Genomic DNA, 26,154 nt, shown 5'->3' on the forward strand with positions numbered 1-26,154 from the left:
CCCCACATTGAAATATCCACCTTAAATCAAACTTCCAATTCTTAATAAATTCTGCCCAGACATTTCCCTCTGAAACATTGCCAAAGCTTTGTGCAAGTTGAGGTTTTCCTTGCCAAAATACGTAAGAAATTCAAGCTTTGTTTTATCAGCAGGTTTTGTTGGTGATATTTGACTCAGCTAAATACACACACACACACACACACACACACACACACACACACACACACTTCGAGCTCATCAATCACATGAAAAAATTATAAGGGTTAGATCACCAGTTATTGGGTTAAGTCCAGTATATTTCTATCCAATGGTAAACAAAATGATAAAAGTTAATTGACAATTCTCGATACCACTCAGTCTCTCCTGCAGCCATCAGCTCTCTGGTAGGTAAATTATGCATCTGAAGACTTTAAGGCAGATTACCCCAGGGTTTGCTCTCAGGCTCAGATCTTCAGAGAAAATAAGGAACTACTATACCCACCCACATTTTCAGAGAAACAGAAATTAGGAAGGATCTTGGAGAATGGAAGGGAGAGATGAATTGGGTAAATCCATTGAGGTGAAGTACACCCAAGGGACAAACCAAATCGAAGTGAGACAAGAAGGCAGGATGCCCAACAGTCATCAACTCCAGTGATTAAGAACTTGGTTAAGATGTATTAATACATTATTACCATATATTTAAGTAAACATTATACATACAGTGCACCAACTCTATGTACTGCTATCCGTGTCTATGTCAGTATTTCTCACTGAGAAATATATGGAGGGACCTCTTTTTTTTTTTTTTTTTTTCCTGAGACGGAGTCTTGCTCTGTTGCCCAGACTTACTGCAACCTCCACCTGCCAGGTTCAAGCGACTCTCCTGTCTCAGCCTCCAAAGTAGCTGGGACTACAGGTGTGCACCACCACGCCCAGCTAATTTTTGTATTTTTAGTAGAGATGGTGTTACACCATATTGGCCAGGCTGGTCTTGAACTCCTGACCTCAGGTGATCTGCCTGCCTCGGCCTCCCAAAGTGCTGGGATTACAGGCATAAGCCACCGTGCCTCGCCTGGGACCTCTTTTTTTTTAAAAAAAATTCTCTCACACCCAAACATTTCTGTAAATTCTTTTTATAATATTTCTTAAATGTAAACAAACATTAAATTCTACATGTTCATAAAGCTCTTGTACAAATGTAACACCAAAGCAAATTTACAAATTGTGCACAAACTTTTTTACAAAGTCAGTGTAATGTGGTATATATGATGAAACAAAACTGCCCTAGAAACGTGAACATACTACTGACTGGCAAGCATATGCTCTTGGCCTTCGGCTTGTAAGTATGTCTTGGGGTTGACTCCACTTTCCCATCACTTTATTCTCTTCAGACTACTGCAACCCTTCATTTGTTTAGGAAGATGCCAAGTATGAGGTGCACCTCATTTGTCTTCTCACAGGATCATGACAATTAAAGTAGTATTATCTTATGCTAATTCATTGTGAAAATAAACTCAAATACATGTCCTAATCATGTGGCAGCAGTTAGTTATCATGTGGTCATACAGATACTTCAGAATATGCTTAAACACAAAAGTAAAACACATACTTGTAGAAACCTCACAGACTCTCTCATTAGACTCCGCTTTAAAAAAACACCCACCTCTTATAGTATGTGTAAAAGGTATATATATTTAAATTAGACCACCAGGCACAGTAGCTCCACCTGTAATCCCAGCACTTTAGGAGACTGAGTTGGGTCAATCACTTGAGGTCAGGAGTTCGAAACCAGCCTGGCAAACATGGCAAAACCCGTCTCTACTAAAAATACAAAAAATAGCCAGGTGTCGTGGCACATGCCTGTAATCCCAGCTACTCAGGAGGCTGAGGCAGGAGAATAGCTTGAACCCGGGAGGTGGGGGTTGCAGTTAGCCAAGATCGCCCCAATACACTCTAGCCTGAGCGACAGAGCAAGACTCTGTCTCAAAAAAATATAAAATAAAATAAAATAAAATAGACTATTTCGTTAGCTTCTTATTAACAGTTCCTGGTGCTATTACCTGAGTGCCTGCATTATCATGCAGCACTTGACTCTTGTTTCATTTGGATAATCAAGTCTCTTGTTTTTGGGGACTAAGCCATGGCCCATTCAGCCTCACTGGCCTCAGACCCCTGGGGATTGGTGCATTAGGGACCATAGAACAAACCATCATCAGCCTCACTTCCACAAGTTTTAAATTGGTCAGCCTCATTAGATATTAATGAATGATTCATTTTGAAAGCCACATACACAATGCAACACACCTTCTTGCAATCTCAATGAAAGAAAGCCGGCATGCTCAACAGTCAAACAACCAAGTAACTGAAGCAAGATAATGTATACATTTTAAAGGCACGTTGGAGAAGCTGTTTTCACTATAAGTTGCATTGGTAGGGCAAGGCACAGAGTTTAATACTGAATGGGGCTTGTTTTAGTGACAACCCCCCACTTCTCCTGCCCTCTTTCTCTTCTTCCTCCTGCCTTCTTTCATTTTTCCCCTCCTTTCCGCCTATTTAAGTTCTATGCTTTCCTGAAGGATCAATGTAGTTTCTTCATAAATATAGTTAATGCAAAGAATTGCTTTTATTGAAGAATTATGCTCTTATATGAAAATGTGCTTCCTTTTATAAAATAATATTAGGTAGTTTTAAAAATTGTCTTCTTTGGGCAAAGTAAGAAATTAGTAATCTTGGGGTTTCCTCTATTTTTTTTTAATCTTACGCATCCAAGAACAGGAATCACTTGCCCAGAATATAGAGAAGAGAGATGAGATAAACAGCAAAGTACACTATATAACACCTAACAAGTTGATTCAAGTTGAACAAGTTAAGCTCCATAATATATTTTCTACGGGAGGGAGGGGGCAAATTAGCAGGTGTGCCTTAGTCTCCTTTGGGAGTCAGGGAAGGCTTCACTGAGGAGATAACGTTTGAGCTGGAGTTTGAAGGATTAGCAGGGGAGAAATGGCAGGGCATTCCAAGCAGGGTGCCTATGAGCAAAAGGCGCAAAGCACAAAAGAGTACGACGTGTCCAGCAGCTCTGAGTAGGCGAGTGGCTGCAGCGTAGGGTTCTTGGAGTTAGGTGATCAAGGGTGAGGAAGGGACTATTTTCCCTGCTTGGACGATTTCTCCTACACCTCATTGCACGGTGCTGGGCACACACTGCAGGAGCTCAATAAATACTTGTTGAATTGGGACAGAATGAAAGAGTGCGCTGGGAACCAGGGCATCTGGATGTTTTCTCACGCACCCGCAGTGTGACCTTGGCCAAGTCCCTTTTCTGGGACTGCGGTTCCTGCTTAGTAGTCGAGTACGAGTGAGAAAGCGGAGGAGGAGGTTGGCCAGAGGCGCCTAGCCTTTCTAGCGGCCTGAATCCCTGATTCGATGCGTAGAGGGCGGGGCGGGCCGCTTGGGGCCGCGGCGGGCGGAGGTTCAGTTCCTCCTCCGGTCCAGCAGGGGGCACGGGGAGTGGCTTCCCGCCGCCCTTCCCCTCCTTGCGGGCGCCGGGCAGACTGCTGCAGTCGCAAGCGGCGAGCGCAGTGGGCGGGGCGGGCCTGGCCGGGCCGGGCGGCGGCGCTGCGCTGACGGGCTGAGTCTGGCGGCGGCGGAAGCTGCAGAGGCCACCGGGGCGCTAACTGGGTGGCCGGTGGGCCGCTGTGGCCTCGAGCAGCCTCTTCGCGCGGCCCCGCACCCCGGCAAGCAGCAGCGGGCCGCGACGCCCAGCCTGCCAGTGAGCTGCGACGGGCACACCCCGGAGCGTCGGCGACTGCGGACAGGTTAGAGTGGGGGCAGGGGCGGGCGCGGGAGCAGCCCAGGGCCAGAGAGGGAGCCCGAGCCAGGCCATCTCCAACCATGTCCGACGAGGCCTCGGCCATCACTTCCTACGAGAAGTTTCTAACCCCCGAGGAGCCCTTCCCACTCCTGGGACCTCCTCGCGGGGTGGGCACCTGCCCGAGCGAGGAGCCGGGCTGCCTGGACATCAGCGACTTCGGCTGCCAGCTGTCCTCCTGCCATCGCACCGACCCGCTCCACCGCTTCCACACCAACAGGTACGAACTGCACCTGAGGGCAGGGGTGGATTTTCCACTTCTGGTCGCCCCCCGCTCCTGATCCTTCGTCCCGGGCTGCGCTTCCAGTCGCCCCCTCCCCCACCTGCTTTCGACCAGCGCTCATTCCCGGCCTCCTTCCCTGCCCCCCCTCCCTATTTTCACCCCTGCCCTCCTATTTTCCTTTCGACCGGCGTTTTACTCTCTTTTCCTCATTCATATTCTGGCTATAGCGACTCCTCCCTTCCCTACCTTCTCCCTCCCTTGCTTCCCTTCCCTCCCCCCATCTGTACCCTACGAATCCCAAACCCCCACCCTTGATTTTTAGATACGCCCCTGTTTGCATCCATCTGCAAAAGTTTAACCCCTTCCATTTCCGGTACGCTGTAGAGGAATTTGGATGGCTCAAGATCAATCCATAGATCTTTTGAAAAGTGGCGTTGAAAGGTGGAACATTTAAAGCTAGAAGCTTCATTTTCCCTATTTTTAATCTGTCTCACAGTCCTGTTCCCCCCGCCGCCACCACCCCTACCCCATTTTTTTTTTTAGTTGAGCGCTAGGAAACTAGTCGATTCTCTCTTTTTTTCCTCCTCCTTTATTAACTGTTTGCCTTAGCGCTTTAGGCTCTGCCAAAATTGGTAAGCTTAAATCTGGAGGATTCCTTCATATGACATATCCCTTGGTTTCCTTCCCCTTTGAAGAGACAGAGTAAGGCTTAGGATGGACTGACTTACACAAATTTATTCAGAGGGTGTATCTCCTCCTAACTGATTTCAGTAGAAGGTAGTGTTCTGGAGACTTCTCTCATGCAAGCATTTACGTGTTAGATCAAATCTTGGGGGGTGGGTTGAAGACGTTCTAGATACAGCCTCAAGTTTTAACATAGGTGGATATTTGAGATACATATACAAAGGGCTGGGGGGGTGTGTGGTTAAGGCTCTAGGAGAGGGGTTCAGCTATGGAAAATACTGGAGATAAATTAAGAAATCTAGTTCTGACTTCTGATCCAAGTTTATGATGTGAGTTTGATCAAATTCTTCCATATTTTAATGTCTTTAGCATATTTCTCCCCTCCCTTCCCTTAAATCAGTCTGTAGATTGAATGAGCTTCTACCAGATACAAGGAATGTGTAAAAGATGTTTCTTACATAAATGAAAGTTATAGTCTATGGAAACAAGGTGTTATAGTTAAATAATCAGAATATCAGTATAACACATCTCAAAAGGAAGTGGCAGTAAATTTATTATGACTACTCTAAATCGTCATTGCAAAAAATGAAGAAACAGGCCCAGAAAGAAAAGATTGAGTTCAAGGTCATAAAACCTAGTCAAGCAAATCCAAGACTATTCCTTTGAAGCCAATGATTAAACTTGGAGCAGAACTAATTGATCCAGTGTTACAAATAGAACTTATGGTTTCCTAGACCAACTCACAGAAGCCTATTTAACCCCTGATGTCACTGTAATGTGAATGTAACATATTCATGAAATCAAGTGTGCTTAGGGTTATTTATGTTGAAAAATAATGTAAAAGAATACCTTTGTACATATTTGGCATTTAAGTTTTGCAGCCTTGGAGCAAGTCACATACCCAGGAAAGTTAAATAATTTCAGAATGATCCTGCTGTGATGATGAGGGCAAGGGAGTGAGGGCAGAGGCTGTGGGTAAGTACTGCCAAAACTGGGTAGAGGTGATGGGGAGTGAAGTTATGAGAATAATATGTTTCTTACAACTTGTTCTGTTCCTTCCTCCTCCCCGTTTTTTCCTGTGTTTTCTTTCCCTTAAAGACTGTGGTGAGGTCAGGACTGTTTTTCAATGGGGCAGTGAGGAGGGGAGAAGGAGGTTCTTTGCAAGCCCCAGTTTTTCCAAGTCAAGCATTTTTCCTAGTTACTGCTTGCTTTTTTTTTTTTTTTTTTTAACTTCCCTCTCCTACCCTACTTTTCGCAAGGCTTGGCATGGTGGCAGGGGTTCTAATGCTCTGTATCCTTTTCAGCAGAGAGTAGGGGAAGCAAAATTAGCGATATTCACAGCACATGATGTTTCTGTCCTAGGCTACCTTGCCTTTTAAATGTATTATCCTTCTGCAATGTTCTGCTTTCTTACCCCTCCTCAAGATGGTGCTTGAGAGGACCATAGGCTTCCAGCCATTTCTTTTCAGGGAGAAGCACACAGCTAAATCATATATCGGGCAAAGTTTAGGGAGTTCTTTTATTTTGGAGTTGTATGTGTCACTTTTTTCCTTCACATCACATCATTTGTCAATTCAGGCAACAACCCAAAAATCAGATTTCAAATAGTTGAGTGCTGAAATTCTGCCTTGGGTTTAGTGATTGTAAAACAAATTTTCATTGGAAGTAGGAAGCTTGTTAATTGGTAGATATTTGACTTAACCTTAATTTTGCTTCCTTCTTGGTACCTGATAAGAAAAATGTGGAGATTTTAAAAATAATGCACTTGATAAGGACCTTATGATTATGACAATTTTGTGCCTACTCATTTACTGGATTCTGGGCTATATTTGCAATTTTCATTAACAAAGACAGTCACAGCACTAACAGTCCCTGAGGTTGAATGGTTGCAATATTCAGATTTTTTTTTTTCTTTAAAGACAGAGTCCTGCTCTGTCATCCAGGCTAGAGTGCAGTTGCACAATCTTGGCTTAGGGCAACCTCCGCCTCCTGGGTTCGAGCGATTCTCCTGCCTCAGCCTTCTGAGTAGCTGGGACTATAGGCGTGTACCACTATGCCTGGCTAATTTTTATATTTTTAGTAGAGACAGGGTTTCACCATGTTGGCCAGGCTGATCTTGAACTCCAGACCTCAGGTGGTCCACCCACGTTGGCCTCCCAAAGTGCTGGGATTACAGGTGTGAGCCACCGCGCCCGGCCCAGTATTCAAATTAAAGTCATTTGTGATGTAGGTTGGTATGTCACTGGTCTAGGTTCAGTAGAAAATACATTACATGGACACAGCCAGTTTCCTAAGCATTCATACCTTAAGACCTACATGGATTGGTCTAGAATTTTAGGAAAATAGAATAAATTTCAATAAGCCAAAAAAGTGAATGAATTTTTTAAAAATGTGAAATGTCAGTGTGGAACATATGTAGTGTTTAAGACATTTTCTTTGGTTTTGGGGGCAGTGATTTTCTGATGTAAATGGAGGTTTTCTCTTAGCACTTCCAAACTATTGCATAAATCTTTTACTCAGTTATGTGATTTTAGAGCTCCGTTTTCAATCACCATTAACCAGAAAAACCTAAAGACTATTGTGTGCCTTTGGTAACACCCATAGTTTTCCTATCTAGATACAGAATTAGAGGTGCAGAAGAGCTGTGGGTTGCAGGTGGGAGAACCATGTTGGAGGAATTTGGTTTGGGGACTTGCTGAGACAAGTTGAAAATGGGGGGTTAGGATTTGGAGAAATATCCAAGCTAGAAATACAGATTTGGGAGTAATCAGTAGAAGTCCGTGACGTGATAGAAGTGGAACTACAGGTTACAAAGGTTGAGAGAGTGGAAGGTTTTCAATAAATTTAGCAGGGAAAGAAAGGAGAAGGGGAGATGTTGTGAGAATTTGAAAGGGAAATAAAGGTTTCTTTTTTTCTTTTTTTAACTTCATTTAGTTTTTCTTTTCCAAGAATAGAGATGTTAGCTCCTTAGAAGCAGGCCACAGGAAAGGGAGAAATTGAAAATATAAAAGAAGGTGGGATGAGAGATAGACATGATGAACTCAGAAGTCCAAATGGGATCATTAGCCTTAGAAATGACATAGAGTGTTTTTTACTTCCAAGGCAATAAAGAGGGCAGGAAAGATGGGTAATGAACCCAACACAATTGGGGTAGCTAGGAGGAAAGTAGGGAACTTAAGTGGGTAGAAGAAGGGGTTGTATATTCTCTAACTTGGAACCTTGGTGGCCTGTTGGACTCCAGAATAGCAGCAGAAGTCAGGTTGGCTATATGGGGATTCTGGCAGAGAGTCAGTGGTGAATACAAGTACTGATGGGGCACTGTACCCTAAGAATGAATATATAGCATAGACTTCAAATGACCTTCATCAGCTTGGCAGAACTTCATTCAACAGTGCTCATTGGCTGGATTCTTATCTTCAGAAGTGGCAGTCAGGCCCACCTGAGAGAAAAGGGGGTGCAGAGGAATGTGTACATGGTACACATGCTTTTCTTAATTTTAACGTTTAAATGGCTGTTTACCAAAATACCATTGAAAGTCCTTAGTCTGTATATTCTTGCTGAAACACCTTGCAGAGAAATGTTCTTGGCTTTATTTTTTTTTTTAATTAAAATTTGGGCAGCAAGCCTAGTTATTGAGTTAAACACCGTGTTTCACTGGAATTCTTTTCAACGTCTTTCAAGATTTTGGAGAAAGTCTCTTTTGAGAGTAATATTATGGTGATAGCTAGAGTCGAAGTGTTAGGTAACTTTCTCTTAGTGGAATATAATGTAAGGGCTTGTAAATTTAAATAGTTTAGTGCTGAGCACACAATGGACATTCATTACAAGTTTGAAACTGACAGAACAGTCTGAAAGAATCACACTTAAATTTTTATTTAAAAACTTATTATAGAAAACTGAGGGCATATAAAAAACTATAGACCACTCATGATCCTTTTCCCCAAAGGTAACAACTATCAACATTTTGATGTTTCTTTTAATGTGTCTATGTACAGATATAATTTTTAAACATCAGGATCAGTTTGTGACCTGCATATTTGCTCCTATATTGTTGGGTGTTTTCCTTTTGAATAATCTGAAAATATGATTTTTAGTGATTATAAAAATACCATTCAGATATATCATTTAATCCTCATATTTTAGGGGCATTTATTTTCCCTTTTGGACTATTACAAATAGTATTGTTTGGACATATTTGTACACACATCTTTTTTCCAAATTTCTGTTTGGGGAAGGGAACACAATCCTAGAAGGGGAATTACTGATTCCAAATGAATGAACCTTTTTAAACGTCTAGATGTACATAGTACTGCCAAATTGCTTTTAAGAAAGATTATGTCAACTTAGACTGTCACTGGCAATGGATGAAAGTACTTCCTACTTTGTTTTTATCTATATTGCCTTAAAATTATGATTTTAAAAATTTGCAAATTAGAAGATATAAAAATTTTGCCAGGTGCATTGGTTCACACCTGTAATCCCAGCGCTTTGGAAGACCAAGGTGGGAGGATTGCTTGAGCCCAGGCATTTGAAACCAGCCCGGACAACGTGATGAAACCCTTTCTCTTCCAAAAAAAAAAAAAAAAAAGAAATGTGAAAATTAGCCAGGCGTGGTGGTATGTGCCTGTAGTCCCAGCTGCTGGGAAGGCTGAGGTGAGAGGATGAATCAAGCCCAGGAGGTCAAGCCTGCAGTGAGCCATGGTCGCACCACTGCACTCCAGCCTTGGTTGACAGAGCAAGACCCTGACTCAAAAAAAAAAAAGGAAGATATAAAAAATGTTACAATCTTTACTAGTAAAAAATACTGTTATTCTATTTTATGAATGATTTGTTCAATTATGAGCCCGGTTTACTTGCTGCTGATAATTAAAAACAAAAGACAAAGACTTCTAAGAACATTCAGAACCTTGTGATGATTACAAATCTGAGAAACACATTGACTTTGCCCAAAGGTAAGAGCACAAAATGAAGCAAATTCCTGACTCCTTTGGCAGTGATCTAATGGTTAGATTACTAAATATGGCATCTTTTTTTTTTTTTTAAGGAATGTCACTATTACTCATGGAGAGAAACACATTTCTACAGAATTTTTACAAACTAAAAAGAAATTCTAATTAAAAACAATTATCTAACAGTTTTTCCTAGCACCGAACATAGTACTTGGTACATAGAAGATACTGACTAAATGTTTGTTGAATGAGTGAATGAATAAAGGGAAAAAAATCACATGTAATTTGAAGACACAAGAGAAAAATAGTTTGCTCAGGACATAATGTAGATAAGGCTTACTGTGTCCAGAATGTATTTTTGTTTTGTTTTGAGATAAGGCCTTGCTGTGTTGCTCAGATTAGAGTACAGTGGCAGGATCAGCTTGCTATAACCACAGACTCCTGGGCTCCAGGGATCCTCCTGCTTCAGCCTCCCGAGAGTAGCTGGGAATACAGACATGCACCACCTTGCTCAGCACATTTTTTAACTTTTTGTAGAGATACTGTCTTGCTTTGTTACCCAGACTGGTCTCAAACCAGGGTATGATTCCTCTTCATAACTTTTATTGCAAGACCTGGGATAATTTGGTTAATTAAAAATTTTTCTAAAATGAGGATACTGTTCACCTAGCGAGCATGTGATGAAAGTAATATTACAAGATATTCTAGGATTCTTAGATGAATTTTATTTTTTTTACTATCTATAAAAATTTATTGACATCTACTTTCTATTTACTGAATTATAATAGTGTGTGTGTGTTTCAGTGTTTTAAAATGGTCTACCTTCAAAAGAAAAGGTACCATAAAGTTTTTCAGGTTGTCCAAATTTTGTATGTAAATCAAGAACTTCTAAAAGATTAGCCATACAAAATGGAGGAAGTTAAAAAAAATGAAGTGCGTAATTTAAGAAACAGTAGATTTAATGAAGGATGAGACACGACCTAATAATAGGTAAATAACAGACTTTTCATAAGGAAGTCATTACTTCAGGAGCTTGTTAGTACTGGAAATACTAAATAATTATCTTAAGGATTAATTCTCTATGCTACTGGCAAAGCAATGAAGATTATCTTATTAATAGTATAAAACTAGTGGAAATTTACAAAGGAAAACAGATTGATAGATTTCAAGACCAAAAAAAGATCCAACCAAAAAACCCTGCAATAAATACTGTAGACAAAATGTTAATATCCTTAATACATAAAGAACTCTTACAAAATTAGTAATGAAAATATTAGCACATAGGAAAACACCATAGCGAAATAGCTAATGAATATTTAAAAATTTGATCTTGCTGGTAATTAAATAAATAAAACTTGATATAAAAATGTTTCTGTGCTGGTGCAGTGGCTCATGCCTGTAATTCCAGTGGTTTGGGAGGCTGGGGCGGACAGATGGCTTGAGCTCAGGAGTTTGAGACGAGCCTGGGCAACATGGCAAAACCCCATCTCTACAAAAAATACAATAATTAAGTGGGCATGTTGCACCTGTGGTCCCAGCTACTTGGGAGGCTGACATGGGAGAATCGCTCGAGCCTGGGAGTTGGAGGCTGACATGGGAGAATCGCTTGAGCCTGGGAGTTTGAGGCTGCAGTGAGCTGTGTTTGTGCCACTGTACTCCAGCCTCAATGAGAGAAGTGAGTCCCTGTCTCAAAAAAGCAAGAAGTTTCTGTCCTATAAGATAGGTAAAAAAATTTTTAGCAATTTTAGTGCTGTTAAGATTGTGATGAAATGAGCACTTTTATATACTGCCCTGGGGAGTATAAATTGATGCTGCCTTTCAGAAAGGTGTTGACTAAATTGATCCTTAGAAATGTTCATATTCTTTGACTCAGTACTTACCTTTCAAGCAACTGTATCCTGAGATAATATATTTTGATAAATAATTATAAACAATGCTCATCTCAGTATTATTTCTAATATTAAAAAATTAGAAACAGCTTATGTATCATTGGGGAATAAAGTTAAATAAATTATGATACATTTAGCCAATGGAATATTATATAGGCATTAAAATGTTTTCAAGTAATATACTTAGGAAAATGTTTAGCATATTAATGTTAAGTGAAAAAAGCAATATACTAAAATATATATACACAGAATGGTTGCTGATTCTGTAAAAAATATGTATGCACATAAAAATAAACTACCAAAATATTATAGATTAGTTATTGCTGGATAATGGAATTATTGATCATTTTATTATTCATTCCTTTCTTTCCAACATCTTTGCAATGAGCCTGTACAGCATTAATATGAAAAAGTTACTTAAATATAACAAATACTTCTTGAACATCTACCTGTGTAGATGCTTGTTAGTGCTTTTCTCTGCCCTGCAATGGCCCCACTCTTCCTTTAACAATAATAATAGCTGTCATATATTGGGCACTTTTTATGTGTGCTACAAGTGCTGTGTATGCATTCTCATGTGATCATCACGATACCTCCATTGGGACACAGACTTGGAGAGAGTGTTATTTGCTTAAAATCAATTAGCTAGGAAGTGACAGAGCAAGAATTTGAACTGTCTGATTCCAGAGCTTACTCATAACCACTATGCTGTATGCTTTGTTTATGGATGAAGATTTTACTTTAGTCCTAATTTAAATACTACTTTCTTTTAAAATAGTGTACTACAAAAATTTTCAGACAGCTACAAAGGTAGAGAGAAAAGTGTAATGGACCCCATGTTCCTGTCACCCAGCTTCAACATTTATTCATATACGGCATCATGCTTCATCTGTACCTCTATCCACTCCCCAACCCCTGCCTTATTTTGAGGCAAATCCTAGACATGTATCATTCATAAATATTTTAGTATATTTCCTTAAAAGGTAGGGGCTCTTTTAAAAATACAAAAAACCTCACATTCCTTATAAATGTTATAAATATGTCCTGTTAATTATATCTTAAAATTGTATGGATTCTGTAGTTCTCTTGATTTCTTTCGTGTTGTGTTTTTGAAGGTGGAACCTAACTTCTTGTGGAACAAGTGTTGCCAGCTCAGAAGGCAGTGAGGAGCTGTTTTCATCTGTGTCTGTTGGAGATCAAGATGATTGCTATTCCCTGTTAGATGATCAGGACTTCACTTCTTTTGATTTATTTCCTGAGGGGAGTGTCTGCAGTGATGTCTCTTCTTCTATTAGCACTTACTGGGATTGGTCAGATAGCGAGTTTGAATGGCAGGTAAGTTTTTTTGTCCTTTTCTTGACATTGTTACTACCGAAGTAGAAGTATAAACTTTTCTTTTGATATTTTCATCTCTACTTCAAAGTAAATTTCTCTAATGTTTATCCAGTCCTGGAGATTCTCTGACATGTTTTAAGGTTAAGAATTGGATGGGATATCTTTATTTTTGCTAATGTACCTTTTTGATGCTATAGATATCCTTTTGTAGATTTTTATGTTATTTAATACTTGCGTAATATTACCATTATTATATATTATCGGTACCTTTCTGTGCATGAATCCAAGCAAAGTTACACTTCCTACCCTATAATAAATAGCTTTTGTGTCCTTATAGGACAAATATCAGTCACATTATGTACCTAATATCATAAACTGTTATTACCATAAATACATGATTTTTGGTTCTGTCATCAGAAATATATAATTTCTCATTTTGTATTCTGTTTGTATGTAGACATGTTTTTCGCCTGACACTTTTTTCTTGTGGCATATATACCATGTAAAATGGCTTTGTGGTAAATTGTTTGAAAATCCTGCCTTATAATAAGTGCAGTTTGTCAGAAAATTTAGATTGTGTTATTACAACATTCATATTCTGATTGTAAAAACAATAAAACATTTAAAGACGTTTTCCCTGCCTACAGCAAAGATTTTATTCGCTAGATAAACTCGAATGTCTGCTACATTTGAAAGCCATCTGAATACTTGAAGTTTTATTCCAAAAGAGGGATTGAATATTATAATTTCAAACAGCTTTCAAATAATACAGAATGGCATCAAATTTAAAAAAGTCTCCAAGTCCCACTCTACTATGGTTACCACTGTTAGGAGCTTATGCAGATATAAGTATGTTTGCATACTGTTAAAAACATATGGGATTATACTTCATCCACTGTTTGGCCCTATGCTTTTTTTCAGCTAACACATCTCATTCTTTTCCATAACTGGATCATAATTTACTTAATCCATTTCCTAATTATGGCTATTTCGGTTGGTTTCAGTTTTTTGTTGTTATAAACAATGCTACACTGAAAAGATGAGATTTTTTTTTAAGAAAAAAAGTAATTCACAACCCTTCCATTTTTGTTTTTCATATTATTTGGATTAAAACATTTTTAAACTTTTTAAAAATTTGAGATGAAATTCACCATTTTCATCATTTTGAAATGTATAATTCAGTAGTTATTAATATACTCACAGTTGTTCAGCCATCACCGCTAATTCCAGGGCATTTCTGTCAACCCCAAAAGAAATCCTATACCCATTAGCACATAGTCCCAATTCTCCCCTCCCCCTTATCACCTGGCAGCTACTAATCTAATTTCTCTATGGATTTGCTTTTGTGGATATTTCATATCAATGGATGAATATATGGCCTTTTGTGTCTGGCTTCTTTCACTTGGAATAATGTTTTCAAGGTTCATCCATGTTGTACCATATAACAGTACTTCATTCCTTTCTATGGCTAATATTCCATTGTGTAGATGTACAGTACCACATTTTGTTCATCCACTCATTACCTGATGAACTTTTGGGTTGTTTCTACTTTTTGGCTGTTATAAATAATACTGCTGTGAACATTCAGGTTCAAGTTTCTATGTGGATTTATATTTTTAATTCTCTTGAATATACCCCAAAGAGTGGAATTGCTGGATCATATGATCACTTGCTATTTAACTTTTTGAGGAACTGCCAACATGTTTTCCAGAGTGACTGCACCATTTTACTTTTCCACCAGCAGCGTATGAAAGTTCCCATTTCACCACATCCTTGTCCACACTTGGCGTTGTCTTTCTGTTTGTAGCCATCCTACTGGGTATAAATTGGTATTTCATTATGGTTTTGAGCATCTTTTCATGTGCTTATTGGCCATTTGTGTGTCCTCTTTGGGGAAATATCTATTCAGATACCTTGCTGCTTTTAAAATTGTGTTATTTTACTTTTTATGGTTGCGTTGTAAGAGTTCTTTCTATATTCTGGCTACTAGACCCTTATCAGATATATGATTTGCAAAAATGTTTTTATTCTGCAGGTTGTCTTTTTGCTTGTTAGCATTTGTTCACTTGATAGTGTCCTTTGACACCAAAGTTTTTAATTTTGATGAAGTCTAATTTATCTTTTTTTTGGCTGTACTTATGATGTCATATTTTAAAAACCACTGTGTAATCCAAGATGAGGAAGATTTTCACCTGTTTCCTTCCCAGACTTTTAGAGTTTTAGTTCTTACATGTAGGTCTTTGACCATTTTGAGTTACTTTTTGTATATGATATGTAAGATAGGAGTCCAGATTCATTCTTTCTTTTTTTTGTTTTTTTTTGTTTGTTTGTTTTTTTGAGACAGAGTCCCGCTCAGCTCAGTTGCCCAGGCTGGAGTGCAGTGACGCAATCTCAGCTCACTGCACCCTCTGCCTCCTGGGCTCATGCCATTCTCCTGCCTCAGCCTCCTGAGTAGCAGGGATTACAGGCACCCACCACCAAACCCGGCTAATTTTTGTATTGTTAGTAGAGACGGGGTTTCACCATGTTGACCAGGCTGGTCTTGAACTCCTGACCTCAGGCGATCTGCCTGCCTCGGCCTCCCAAAGTGCTAGGATTACAGGTGCATTCTTTCCTTTTTTAAGAACAGAGTCTCACTATGTTGTCCATGCTGGTCTCGAATTTTTGGGCTCAAGCAATCCTCTCACCTCATCCTCCTGAGTATCTGGGACTACAGGCATGCACCACTGCACCTGGCTCGCAAATTTATTATTTTGCATGTAGGTATCCAGTTGTCCCAGCACCATTTGTTGAAAATATTATTCTTTCCTCATTGAATCATCTTGGCACCCTTTCGAAAATGAATTAATCATAGATGTGTGGGTTTATTTTTGGACTCTAAATTATATTCCATTGATGTATGTGTCTGTCCTTAACGCTAGTACCACACTGTTTTAGTTATTATAGCTTTTCAGTAAGTTTTGAAATTGAGATGTGTTAGTTCTCCCACTTTGCTGTTCATTATAGAGATTGTTTAGGCTCACATCTGTAATCCCAGCACTTTGATAAGCCGAGGTGGGTAGATAGCTTGAGCCCAGGAGTTCGAAACCAGCCTGGGCAACAAGGCAAAACCCTGTGTCTTTAAAAAAAATGCAAAAATTTACCAGGCGTGGTGGTGTGCACCTGTGGTCTCAGCTACTCAGGAGGCTGAGGTTGGAAGATCGCTTGAGCCCTGAAGGTGCAGGTTACAGTGAGGTGAGATTGCGCCATTGCACTCTAGTCTGGGCAACAGAGCTATTTGGGGTCCTTGCAATTCCATATGAATTTTAGGATCAGGTTGCCCGTTTTTCAAAAAAGAGTAGTTGGGATTTTGGTAGAGATCACATTGAATCTGTAGATTGCTTTGGGGAGTATTGCCATCTTAACAATATTAAATATTCCGATTCATTAATATGAGATGGAATATCTTATTTATTTAGGGCCTCTTTATTTCAATGATGTTTTGTAGTTTTCAATGTCTAAGTCTTACACTCTCTTGGTTGAATTTATTCCTAAATATTGTATTCTTTTTGGTGCTGTTATAAATAGTATTGTTTTCTTAATTTTATTTTCAGATTGTTCATTGCTAGTGTATGTATAGAAATACAGTTGGTGTTAGTATATTGATTTTGTATCCTGCCAACTTTGCTAAAATCATGTTAGATTTAATAATTTTTTCCCATGTGTGGATTATTTATCGTTTTCTATATTTAAGATCATGTCATCTGTGACTAGAGATAGTTTTCCTTCTTTTTTCCTAATCTGGATGCCTTTTAATTCTTGCTTAATTGCCCTAGCTAGATCTCCTGTACAGTGTTGAATAGAAGTGGTGAAAGTGAGCATCCTTGTCTTTTTCCTAATCTTAGGGGAGAGGTTCAGTCTGCTTCTCGATGTGGTTTTTTAGTATTTTGTTAAGGAATTTTGCATCTATATTCATAAGGGATATTGGTCTGCAGTTTTCGTTCTCAGTTGTGTCTTTGTCTAGCTTTGGTGTCCAGGTAATACTGGCCTCTCATAAGGAGGTAGGAAGTGTTTCCTCTTCTGGTTAAAATTTTTTAATAAGATTTTCTCATTTAAGATACAAACTTTTTCATGATATTGATAATGAATTTTTCCTTTTTTTTTTTTTTTTTTTGAGACAAGGCCTGGCTCTGTCACCCAGGCTGGAGTGCAGTGATGCAAAAATGGGTCACTGCAGAATTGACCTCCTGGGCTCAAGCAATCCTCTTGCCTCAGCCTCCTCAGTAGCTGGGACCACAGGTGGGCACCACAACAACCAGCTATTTTTTTTTAATTTTTTTGTAGAGACGGGGTCTCACTTTGCTGCCCAGGCTGGTCTTGAATTCCTGGGCTCAAGCGATCCTTCCACTTTGGCCTCCCAATGTGGTGGGAATACAGGCATGAGCCACTGTGCTCAGCCAGTGTCTCTTTTTTTTTTTTTTTTTTTTTCTCAGTACAGACTTTGTATTTAAAATCAGACTACAAGGATTCTTAGTAAAGCATAAATCAGATAGGAGTCCTGATAATTCTAAGAAATATTTCTTCTGCTTATTTTATGTGATTTATTTAGAGTTATCATCCATAATGTTGCAAGGTGGCAGGCATTTTTAAATTTTAATTGCTGGCTTCTTCACTCATGTTATGAGTAGTTAAGAGTGGAAAACCATCCCCAGCCATTCACCGTTAATGTACATGAGTGACTATGATGTCAGAACAAAAATCAGACCTGCCTTAGTAATGTGTTTTCCCACTTGTGAAATTGGAATACGGATACTCTATTACCATGGATATCTGCTATTTAAATATGCTGAAAGATTTAAAGTGCTGTCTTGTATTTGTGGGATTTTGTAATCATGAGCAGTAAATTATCCAAGAATATAATTACAAATTGTATGTTAGGATTAATATGGATTAAAAATCATTACTATAGTTAAAAAATTTGTATTCTGTTATGATTAAAAACTACATCTGTTTAAATCTTTCTTTTTAACAGATGCTTTAGTTACTACTAAAGTAAATATAAATGATTTATGGATTCTCTGGGAAGAAAAATGCTCACTACTTAATAAGATGAGATTTTAACCTTAGAATGAATTAGCATCTTTGCATTTTGCTTTGCTGATAATTTTCTTTGCTTTCAGTCCTTTTGTTATTAAGGATATATTTGAGTAGTCTTAAGAGTCTGAGAAATTATTTCTATTGTTGATCAGGAAAGCTTAGAAAATTTAAACAGTGAGTAATCAGCTGTCACACTTGAAACCTAGAGGTGCAATCTGAAATTACATATCAGCTGTTACAGAAATGAGCTTACTCATAAAATTCTGCTGCATTCTGCAGAAAATATGGCAGAGATTTAAGTCTCCCTATGTTTCACAATTACTGATCATAATATAAATATGCCAAATATTGCCCATGAAAAATATGGGCTGAGAGTTATTAAGTATTTATTCTGAAATATAGTATCAGTTATAAAATGGAAAATTGCTGGTCTAATAAATATACAGGAGCCCATACAATTCTCCTGTACAACCGCTAGTCTAATCCCGTATCTCCAGTTGACTACTTGACATTTCCACTTAGATGACCTTAATATTTAATACTAACCCATTATTTGATGCTGAGTCTTTGATGCAGTGTTGCAACTTCCAATTACAATGTTTCCATGGAAAAAATAGACTCTGCTTAGTGACATGTCTTACAACTTACTGAAAAATTACTATTGTCTGTCCAAAGGACACTTGTGCTTGCTTCTCCCGTTATCACTACAAACTCTTTATATCCCAAATTGCATTCCTCTCTTATTACAAACTTACCAGACAGGCAAAACTGTTCAGCATAGTTGAAAGCATTAGATTGGTGTCCTACTTTGGATTCTGCCACTAGTTGTATGACCCTCCCCAGACATCATTTTTTTCTTATATGTAAAATGAGGATGTTGGACTAGAAGATCTTTAACATCCTTTCAGTTACCTTGCTATGAAAATTGAGGTCTTTAAGTGTATCACTCTGAGTGGGTTGTATGACCTGAAATGTCACCAATTTTTTTCTGGTCTCAACATGAGACTCTTTATTACCTTATCCATTCAGTTATCAAACAGCTTTGTAATTTTTTTTCTTTTTTCTTTTTTTTCTTTTTTTTTTTTTTGAGATGTAATCTTACTCTGTCGTCCACGCTGGAGGTGCAGTGGTGCGATCTTGGCTCACTGCAACCTCTGCCTCATGGGTTCAAGCGATGCTCCTGCCTCAGCCTCCCGAATAGCTTGGACTACAGGTGCACGCCACCACACCTGGCTAATTTTTGTATTTTTAATAGAGACAGAGTTTCACCATATTGGCCAGACTGGTCTCGAACTCCTGACCTCATGATCTGTCCGCCTCGGCCTCCCAGAGTGCTGGGATTACAGGTGTGAGCCACTGCGCTCGGCTTTGTAAATTTTCATGTTATATTTTTCCTATCTATTCCCATTTTTCTTTCCATGTTTGCTTATTTTCATCCACGCCTAGATTACAAGAGCTTCCTATCTAATTCCAATCTTTCCTCACTCTATTTTGTCCCCATAGTGCTTTTTAGCTGATCTTCCCTAAAGACCAGTTTCATCAAGTTACTTCTTAGAAAATGTTATCGGCCTACTTCTGCATATCATATGACGGTTTCTGGTTCTTCTGTTGAGCTTTCAAATCCCTAGCACTGATTTTCTGTGTTAATCATATTGACATATGATTAAATGATACGATATCTAGAATATATGTCACCTCATACTATGTTTTTTTCCATCTATGACTTTACTAAATTATTCTCCTTACCTGAATGTCTTTTCCTTTTCCCCCTATCATTCTGAAACACTGCCTTGTGAAATTAACCCAGGCACTTTAGCAACATGTGACATTCTCTGAGGGATTGTGCTGCTTTTTTAAGGGTCCAAAACCATGGCAAGGGATGGAAAAAGAAAAGTATATCTCTTTATTGAGTGTTGCCTGTGTGCCAGGCATGTTACCACATTTAAACCACTCAACAATCCTTCGAGATTGATGATATTGACCACATTTTACTACTAACTCTGAGGCTCAAAGAAACAAACTAACCTACACAAGGTCACACTGCTAGTGAGCAGTGGAGCTGGGATTTGAACTCTGGGATCTTTTTACTTATCCCTGAAAAAAAAATGACCAAGGTACCATTAATTACCTTTTTTACACCCCTCCCTCCCCAACAAACGCATAAAGAGAAGTAAAGGTACAAATTTAAGTGCCTGGCAGATATTCTCCAAGATTTAGGTGAATTTTTTTTATTATATTTTGAAAGTATAGGTATTTCAAGAGTTCTTCCGTTTACCTCATTTATCAAAGGAACTTGATGTAGGGGAGGCCTTTTGTCTGATAAGAAGTATCTCTTTTTTTTTTTTAGGGGCCACAGGGAGATTTCTGATGTGATTTGAAGTCAAAGAGAAAATAGCACGCATTTTCTTTTTTGCAATTAAAGGCTGAAAAAGAGATGGTATTCATATGTGCATTCAGCAATCATCCTTTCATAACACCACCTAGATAACAATTAGGGTCAAGGGTGAACAGTTCAAGCAGTGTTAGTTAATGAGATTTTATGTTTTGTTTTCTTTTGTTTTTTTTTTTGAGATGGTCGCTCTGTCTCCCACGCTGGAGTGCAGTGGCACGATCTCGGCTCACTGCAACCTCCACCTCCTGGGTTCAAACGATACTCCTACTTCAGCCTCCTGAGTAGCTGGGATTACAGGTGCGCACCACCACACCCAGCTAATTTTTGTATTTTTAGTAGAGACGGAGTTTTGCCATGTTGGCCAGGCTGGTCTCGAACTCCTGACCTCAGATGATCCACCCACCTCCGCCTCTCAAAGTGCTGGGATTACGGGCATAAGCCACTGCGCCCAGCCGTTAATGAGATTTTAAAAGAAGTTATACAGATTGTTGGTAGTCACTTATGTACTTGGACTTGTCAATAACTGTCATAGTGAAAATGTGGTTTTTAAGAGTAGTAGCTACTTATGGGGGTGTAGAAAGAATGGCCTCTCTCTTAGACAATTTCATTTTAAACATCATAGTCATCTTTTGCATAGTGATTGACTCCTATCTTTGTGGTTTCATGTATTTCTTTGTGATTGATTCCCCAGTGCCTGCCTGCAGTCCATTGCAACTCTCCCAAACTTTAATCCTGCAGCTTCAGCCCACTGCTAGATATTTCCATTGATGACCTGTCATCTGAAACCTAGCATTCATCATGTGCTGTGTTGTATAATTGTATGTCTGTGTTATTGTATTACTTTCCCAAGTAAAGTTTTTGTGTAAGGACTTAACACTGCTTTGAATCCCCTGTACCTATTATACTGCTGTGTACAAAGTAGGAGTTCAAATACATGTGATCACAATAGTCTTCATGACTAAAGTAGCTCTTCGCTTTTTTGGTAACCGCAGAAGCCTAGAAATCATCCAGAGTTCAGATACAGTTGCAAGCTCTATAGAACCAAAACACAGCAAAAAGGTACTGTTTTATACCTTGTAAAAATGAAGTCAGTATATTTGAAAATTGTCATTTGCTCCTTGTAGAAGAAAAGACTTTACCTTTTTGATGAATGACTTAAATATATTTATTTAAAATTAAATCCATTCTAACTTTTGGAGGTAATGGATATATTTATAACCTTGGTCATGGCGGTGACCATGCATATACTTGAGTATATGCATATGTGCAAAAGTATACATAAATATATATAAAATTATAGCATGTATTTTTGCTGTTTGTCTTAAATTGATTTTCTGTATGTTAGGCTTGCTTTTATTCCTCCTTTGTCTACACTTTGTCTTCTATGATTTTTTTCTAATTTTTCTCTTGTAATACTTCTGGTTCTTAAAGTGTTTTACTTTATTTTAACAGCATATTTAAAATTATTTTATTATTTATTTATTTTTTGAGACTGAGTCTTACTCTGTCGTCCAGGCTGGTATGCAGTGGCACAAACACGTCTCATTGCAGCCTCAACCTCCCAGGTTCAAGCGATCCTTACATCTCAGACCACAGGCATGTGTCACCACACCCAACTAATTTTTTTTCCTTTCTTTTTTTTTTTAATAGAGATGAGGTCTCGCTATGTTGGACAGGCTGCTCTGGAACTCCTGGGCCCAAGCGATCCTCCCACCTCAGCCTTGCAAAATGCTGGAATTACAGGCATGATAATTTTTTTTTTTTTTTTTTTTTTTTTAGAGAGACGGGGTCTCGCCACATTGCCTAGGCTGGTCTTGAACTCCTAGGCTCAAGCAGTCCTCCTGCCTCTGCCTCACAAAGTGCTGAGATTACAGGCGTGAGCTACTTTGCCCGGCCTTAATTTATTTTAATTGTCTTGAGGTCACTAATACAGACTTGAGGTCAAAGACCAAGATGTATTTGTCTTTATATTGACAATATGTTTAGCACAGTCTCTGGCAAAAAGCCAGTTAGTGGCACATCATTCAGGTCTCCCCAGATGGAGACCAGTGCTTCTTTTTCATTACAGTGTGGAGGCCCTAGTCATATTCTCATTATACATTAAAAACTTTAATGATGATTGACTCTTCGGTTACCATTTTAATAAGTCTTGATTATGAGTCTAAGCTTTTCAAAAACATCTTTCATTGAATAACTATATGCAAAGAATATATATTTATATACTTATGTTGCTGCTTTGTATAAAATAGGCATGGATCAGAATTAATGTCCTCTGATTCTATATTTGCCATTAGTCTTTTTTCTTTTTTTTTCTTTTGAGATGGAGTCTGACTATCTCCCAGGCTGGAGTAGTGCAGTGGCACCATCTCGGCTCACTGCAACCTCCACCTCCCAGGTTCAAGCGATTCTCCTGCCTCAGTGTCCCGAGTAACTACAGGCACAGGCCACCACACCCAGCTAATTTTTGTATTTTTAGTAGAGACAGGGTTTCACCATGTTGGCCAGGCTGGTCTCGAACTCCTGACCTCAGGTGATCCACCTGCCTTGGCCTCCCGAAGTGCTGGGATTACAGGCATGAGCCACCACGCCGGGCTGCCATTAGTCTTATATTAAAGGAAGCCCTCTTAGCACAGCCAGCAGCACGTCAGTCTCATAAACTAACTTTTAATCGATGTGGAAAATATATTGTAGTATTTAAAATGTAGTCTGAACAAATTTTGCTTTCCTTCCCCACACCCTCCTTATTTTTATAAAGTTACCAGGCAGTGACATTGCCAGTGGGAGTGATGTACTTTCTGATGTCATACCCAGTATTCCAAGTTCACCTTGCCTGCTTCCTAAAAAGAAAAACAAGCACCGGAATTTAGATGAACTCCCTTGGAGTGCAATGACAAATGATGAGCAGGTAAAGATCTTGACATTCTTAATTAAAAGCTTTTATGTGGAGACTAGGTAAAGCTCAGTTTATTGCCTGTTTAAAGCTACTGGGGAAATGTGGATTGCTTAGTAAATCTGAATTTGAGCTTTAACGGTTTTTCAGGGAACAAATATAACCTTAAGTGCTTCTGCTATGTAAACACATTATAATTGACATAATAAAGGATCAGAAGTTTTAGCAATGATCTTATTGTAATTTTTTCATCACATAGGTGGAATATATTGAGTATCTGAGTCGGAAAGTGAGTACTGAGATGGGTCTTCGGGAGCAACTTGATATTATTAAGATCATTGATCCTTCTGCTCAAATCTCCCCTACAGACAGTGAGTTTATTATTGAACTTAACTGTCTCACAGATGAAAAACTGAAGCAGGTATGTAAAGAAAATACAGATTATTTACCTATTAAAAATACCACCATCTTATAAAATGTAGACTAAAATAATCATGTGTAAATACATAGATAATTAAGGCCAAAATCACTGCTGCGAAAGGTAATATTAGAAAAAATGATGGCACATTGATTTAAGAGGTTTTATGTACATCTCACCTGCCAGTACCTTTCTGGGATCAATGTGAATCTAGAACCTGCTTTTCAGTTGTATAGGATTTGAAATTTAATGTCACCATTTACGGAGTGGTTAGGTTAAGGTATAGATTTATTCTAACTCAGTTTACAGGAGACTAATTGACAATCAAAATACTAATTAATGAGAGCTATTCTTTGATAAACAGCTGAGGGATTTGAGTAGTTTTATGCAGTAATAATTGAGCCAGGCTAGGGTGAAACCTAGTGAATTTTCCCTCTGCTGTTCTGAAATACGCATCTCTGGTACTCTGGTATCATCTTCTTTTTTTTTTTTTTTGAGACAGAGTCTCACTCTGGAGTGCAGTGACGCGATCTCGGCTCACTGCAACCTCCACTGCCCGGGTTCAAGTGATTCTCCTGCCTCAGCCTCCCAAGTAGCAGGGATTACAGGCACCTGCCAACGCACCCGGCTAATTTTTGTATTTTTAGTAGAGATGGGGTTTCACCATCTTGACCAGGCTGGTCTTGAACTCCTGACCTCGTGACCCACCTGCCTCAGCCTCCCAAAGTGCTGGGATTACAGGCGTGAGCCGCTGCACCTGGCCTCTGGTATCTTCTAAATACAATTTTTGCTGTTCTTTTTCTGGTACGTAGCTGAGTGAATACTTACGTTCTTATGTTCTACTTTTGATTTGTTTCTTTGTTTTGCATTTATCATTATTTATGAAAAATTTCTCTTATTTCAGTATTTCTCCCAGCAGACATACTATAATTTTCTACATTCCAGCAAATTTTTCATTAGTATGATAAATTGATGTCTTGCATTTGAAGACAGGTATTGTTGGCCCCTAGCTAAGATTTAGGAAACAACCTAATCTTAGATAAAATCAGCAGCTTACTTAAATTGTCTTAAGTGGAGACTTTTAACAAATGCCTAATCTCATCTATTTTATTTTATTGTTAGTTTGTATTTTGAATGCCATTTTTTTACAGTCCTAAATTTCTGAAGGCGAGTAGCCTTCCATTTACTGATTATATTTTATGTGCTTTTAAAATCCAGCTCTATAACGTGTTTTCTAGCTTTTTGAGCATTTATTTTCTAGTACTTATTTCTAAATTTAGCCTTTCTATTCTACCTTACGTATGCATCTGCAGCACTTTTGACAGTCTTTTAGATTAAGTACAATATTATTTTTCCCCCAGCATTTTGAAGGTAGAACATCAAGGTGCAACACTAACCAGTTTGTGTTTGTGCATCCCAAGGTCAGAAACTATATCAAGGAACATAGCCCTCGCCAACGGCCTGCAAGAGAGGCCTGGAAGAGAAGCAACTTTAGTTGTGCAAGCACCAGTGGAGTGAGCGGTGCCAGTGCCAGCGCCAGCAGCAGCAGTGCCAGCATGGTCAGTTCTGCAAGCAGCAGTGGGTCCAGTGTTGGAAACTCTGCTTCAAACTCCAGTGCCAACATGAGTCGAGCACACAGTGACAGCAACCTGTCTGCAAGTGCAGCAGAGCGGATTCGGGATTCAAAAGTAAAACGTCTAATCAATACAAAACTTTACCTTTCAATATTAACATTAGTACTCCTTCATATAAATTTCTTGAAGAGTTAAAATGATCCTGCTGTCTAGTTGCCTGTGGGTTTTGGTCTTAATTGAACAAGCAGGATGCTCTGCTGTTGAACAAAGCACTCTAGGCTGAGTGCTTTGAAATGCTGTTTTGACCCACAACCATATTGCATTCAATCTTACCTGATTTTTGTGTATGTTTTAAGTAAGATAAATTGGTGGAAATAATGAGTTATTCTCAAGATTGCAATATTGACTGCAACTCACTACTGAGCGAATCTCACTACGTTGCTGATGTTGCTGTCTATTAGCTCCTAAGAATGTTGTGTATGTCTTTTGTGTGTGTTAAATGTTTTCTTAATGTTTTAATCTTAAATGTTTCTTCTTAGCTAATTTAAAAATCTAATACTTTCTATAATTTCTGTCTACTCTTTTCACAGTTGAGAAAGTTCTGTATAATATTGTCGGGCACTTAAAAAAAAAAAGAAGGTATAAGTATATTTAGAATGGTCCTGTGGCTTAGCAGGGGAGTTTGATTCCTTGCAATGGCAAGAATCTGGAGCCAGTTTAAAGATGATAAGAGAATCTCTCTAACTCTTTAGTGACCCAGTGGTGACTTGAAGATACACAATGATTCTTTCCCTGGTTCTTAGGGAAGTAGCAGAAACATAGCCAGTTTTGTTGCTAAGGAATTTCTCTAGATATGTGGTCATTCCTTTTTATT

General features: G+C 38.8%; 1 protein-coding gene across 3 annotated transcripts in view, besides 3 other annotated features; it reads left to right on the forward strand.

Moving 5' to 3' along the window:
- FAM199X (family with sequence similarity 199, X-linked) overlaps positions 1-26,154 on the forward strand; it is a 38,837-nt gene that overhangs the window by 5,847 nt on the left and 6,836 nt on the right. The window contains exons 1-5 of one of the 3 annotated variants that reach the window (NM_207318.4): positions 3,541-4,070; positions 12,711-12,930; positions 23,154-23,303; positions 23,548-23,709; positions 25,128-25,394. In NM_207318.4, coding sequence (NP_997201.1) covers positions 3,874-4,070; positions 12,711-12,930; positions 23,154-23,303; positions 23,548-23,709; positions 25,128-25,394 — 996 coding nt within the window. In that variant the 5' untranslated portion in view covers positions 3,541-3,873. Of the gene's footprint in view, positions 1-3,540; positions 4,071-12,710; positions 12,931-23,153; positions 23,304-23,547; positions 23,710-25,127; positions 25,395-26,154 lie in introns of those variants that run through there. The other 2 variants (XM_005262079.4, XM_047441826.1) reach the window with 2 other exon arrangements.
- Positions 3,329-3,818: a silencer, noted in NCBI's record as "silent region_20924". NCBI's record gives its function as "represses an Ori minimal core promoter by ATAC-STARR-seq in GM12878 lymphoblastoid cells {active_cell/tissue: GM12878}" and the evidence as "EXISTENCE:reporter gene assay evidence [ECO:0000049][PMID:35858748]".
- Positions 3,329-3,883: a biological region, named in NCBI's record as "H3K27ac hESC enhancer GRCh37_chrX:103410976-103411476".
- Positions 3,383-3,883: an enhancer, noted in NCBI's record as "H3K27ac hESC enhancer chrX:103410976-103411476 (GRCh37/hg19 assembly coordinates)". NCBI's record gives its function as "activates a minimal SCP1, AML or CMV promoter by ChIP-STARR-seq in naive H9 embryonic stem cells {active_cell/tissue: H9 hESC(naive)}" and the evidence as "EXISTENCE:reporter gene assay evidence [ECO:0000049][PMID:30033119]".

Source organism: Homo sapiens, chromosome X (assembly GCF_000001405.40).
Source record: "Homo sapiens chromosome X, GRCh38.p14 Primary Assembly".
Classification (NCBI taxonomy): Eukaryota; Metazoa; Chordata; class Mammalia; order Primates; family Hominidae; genus Homo; species Homo sapiens.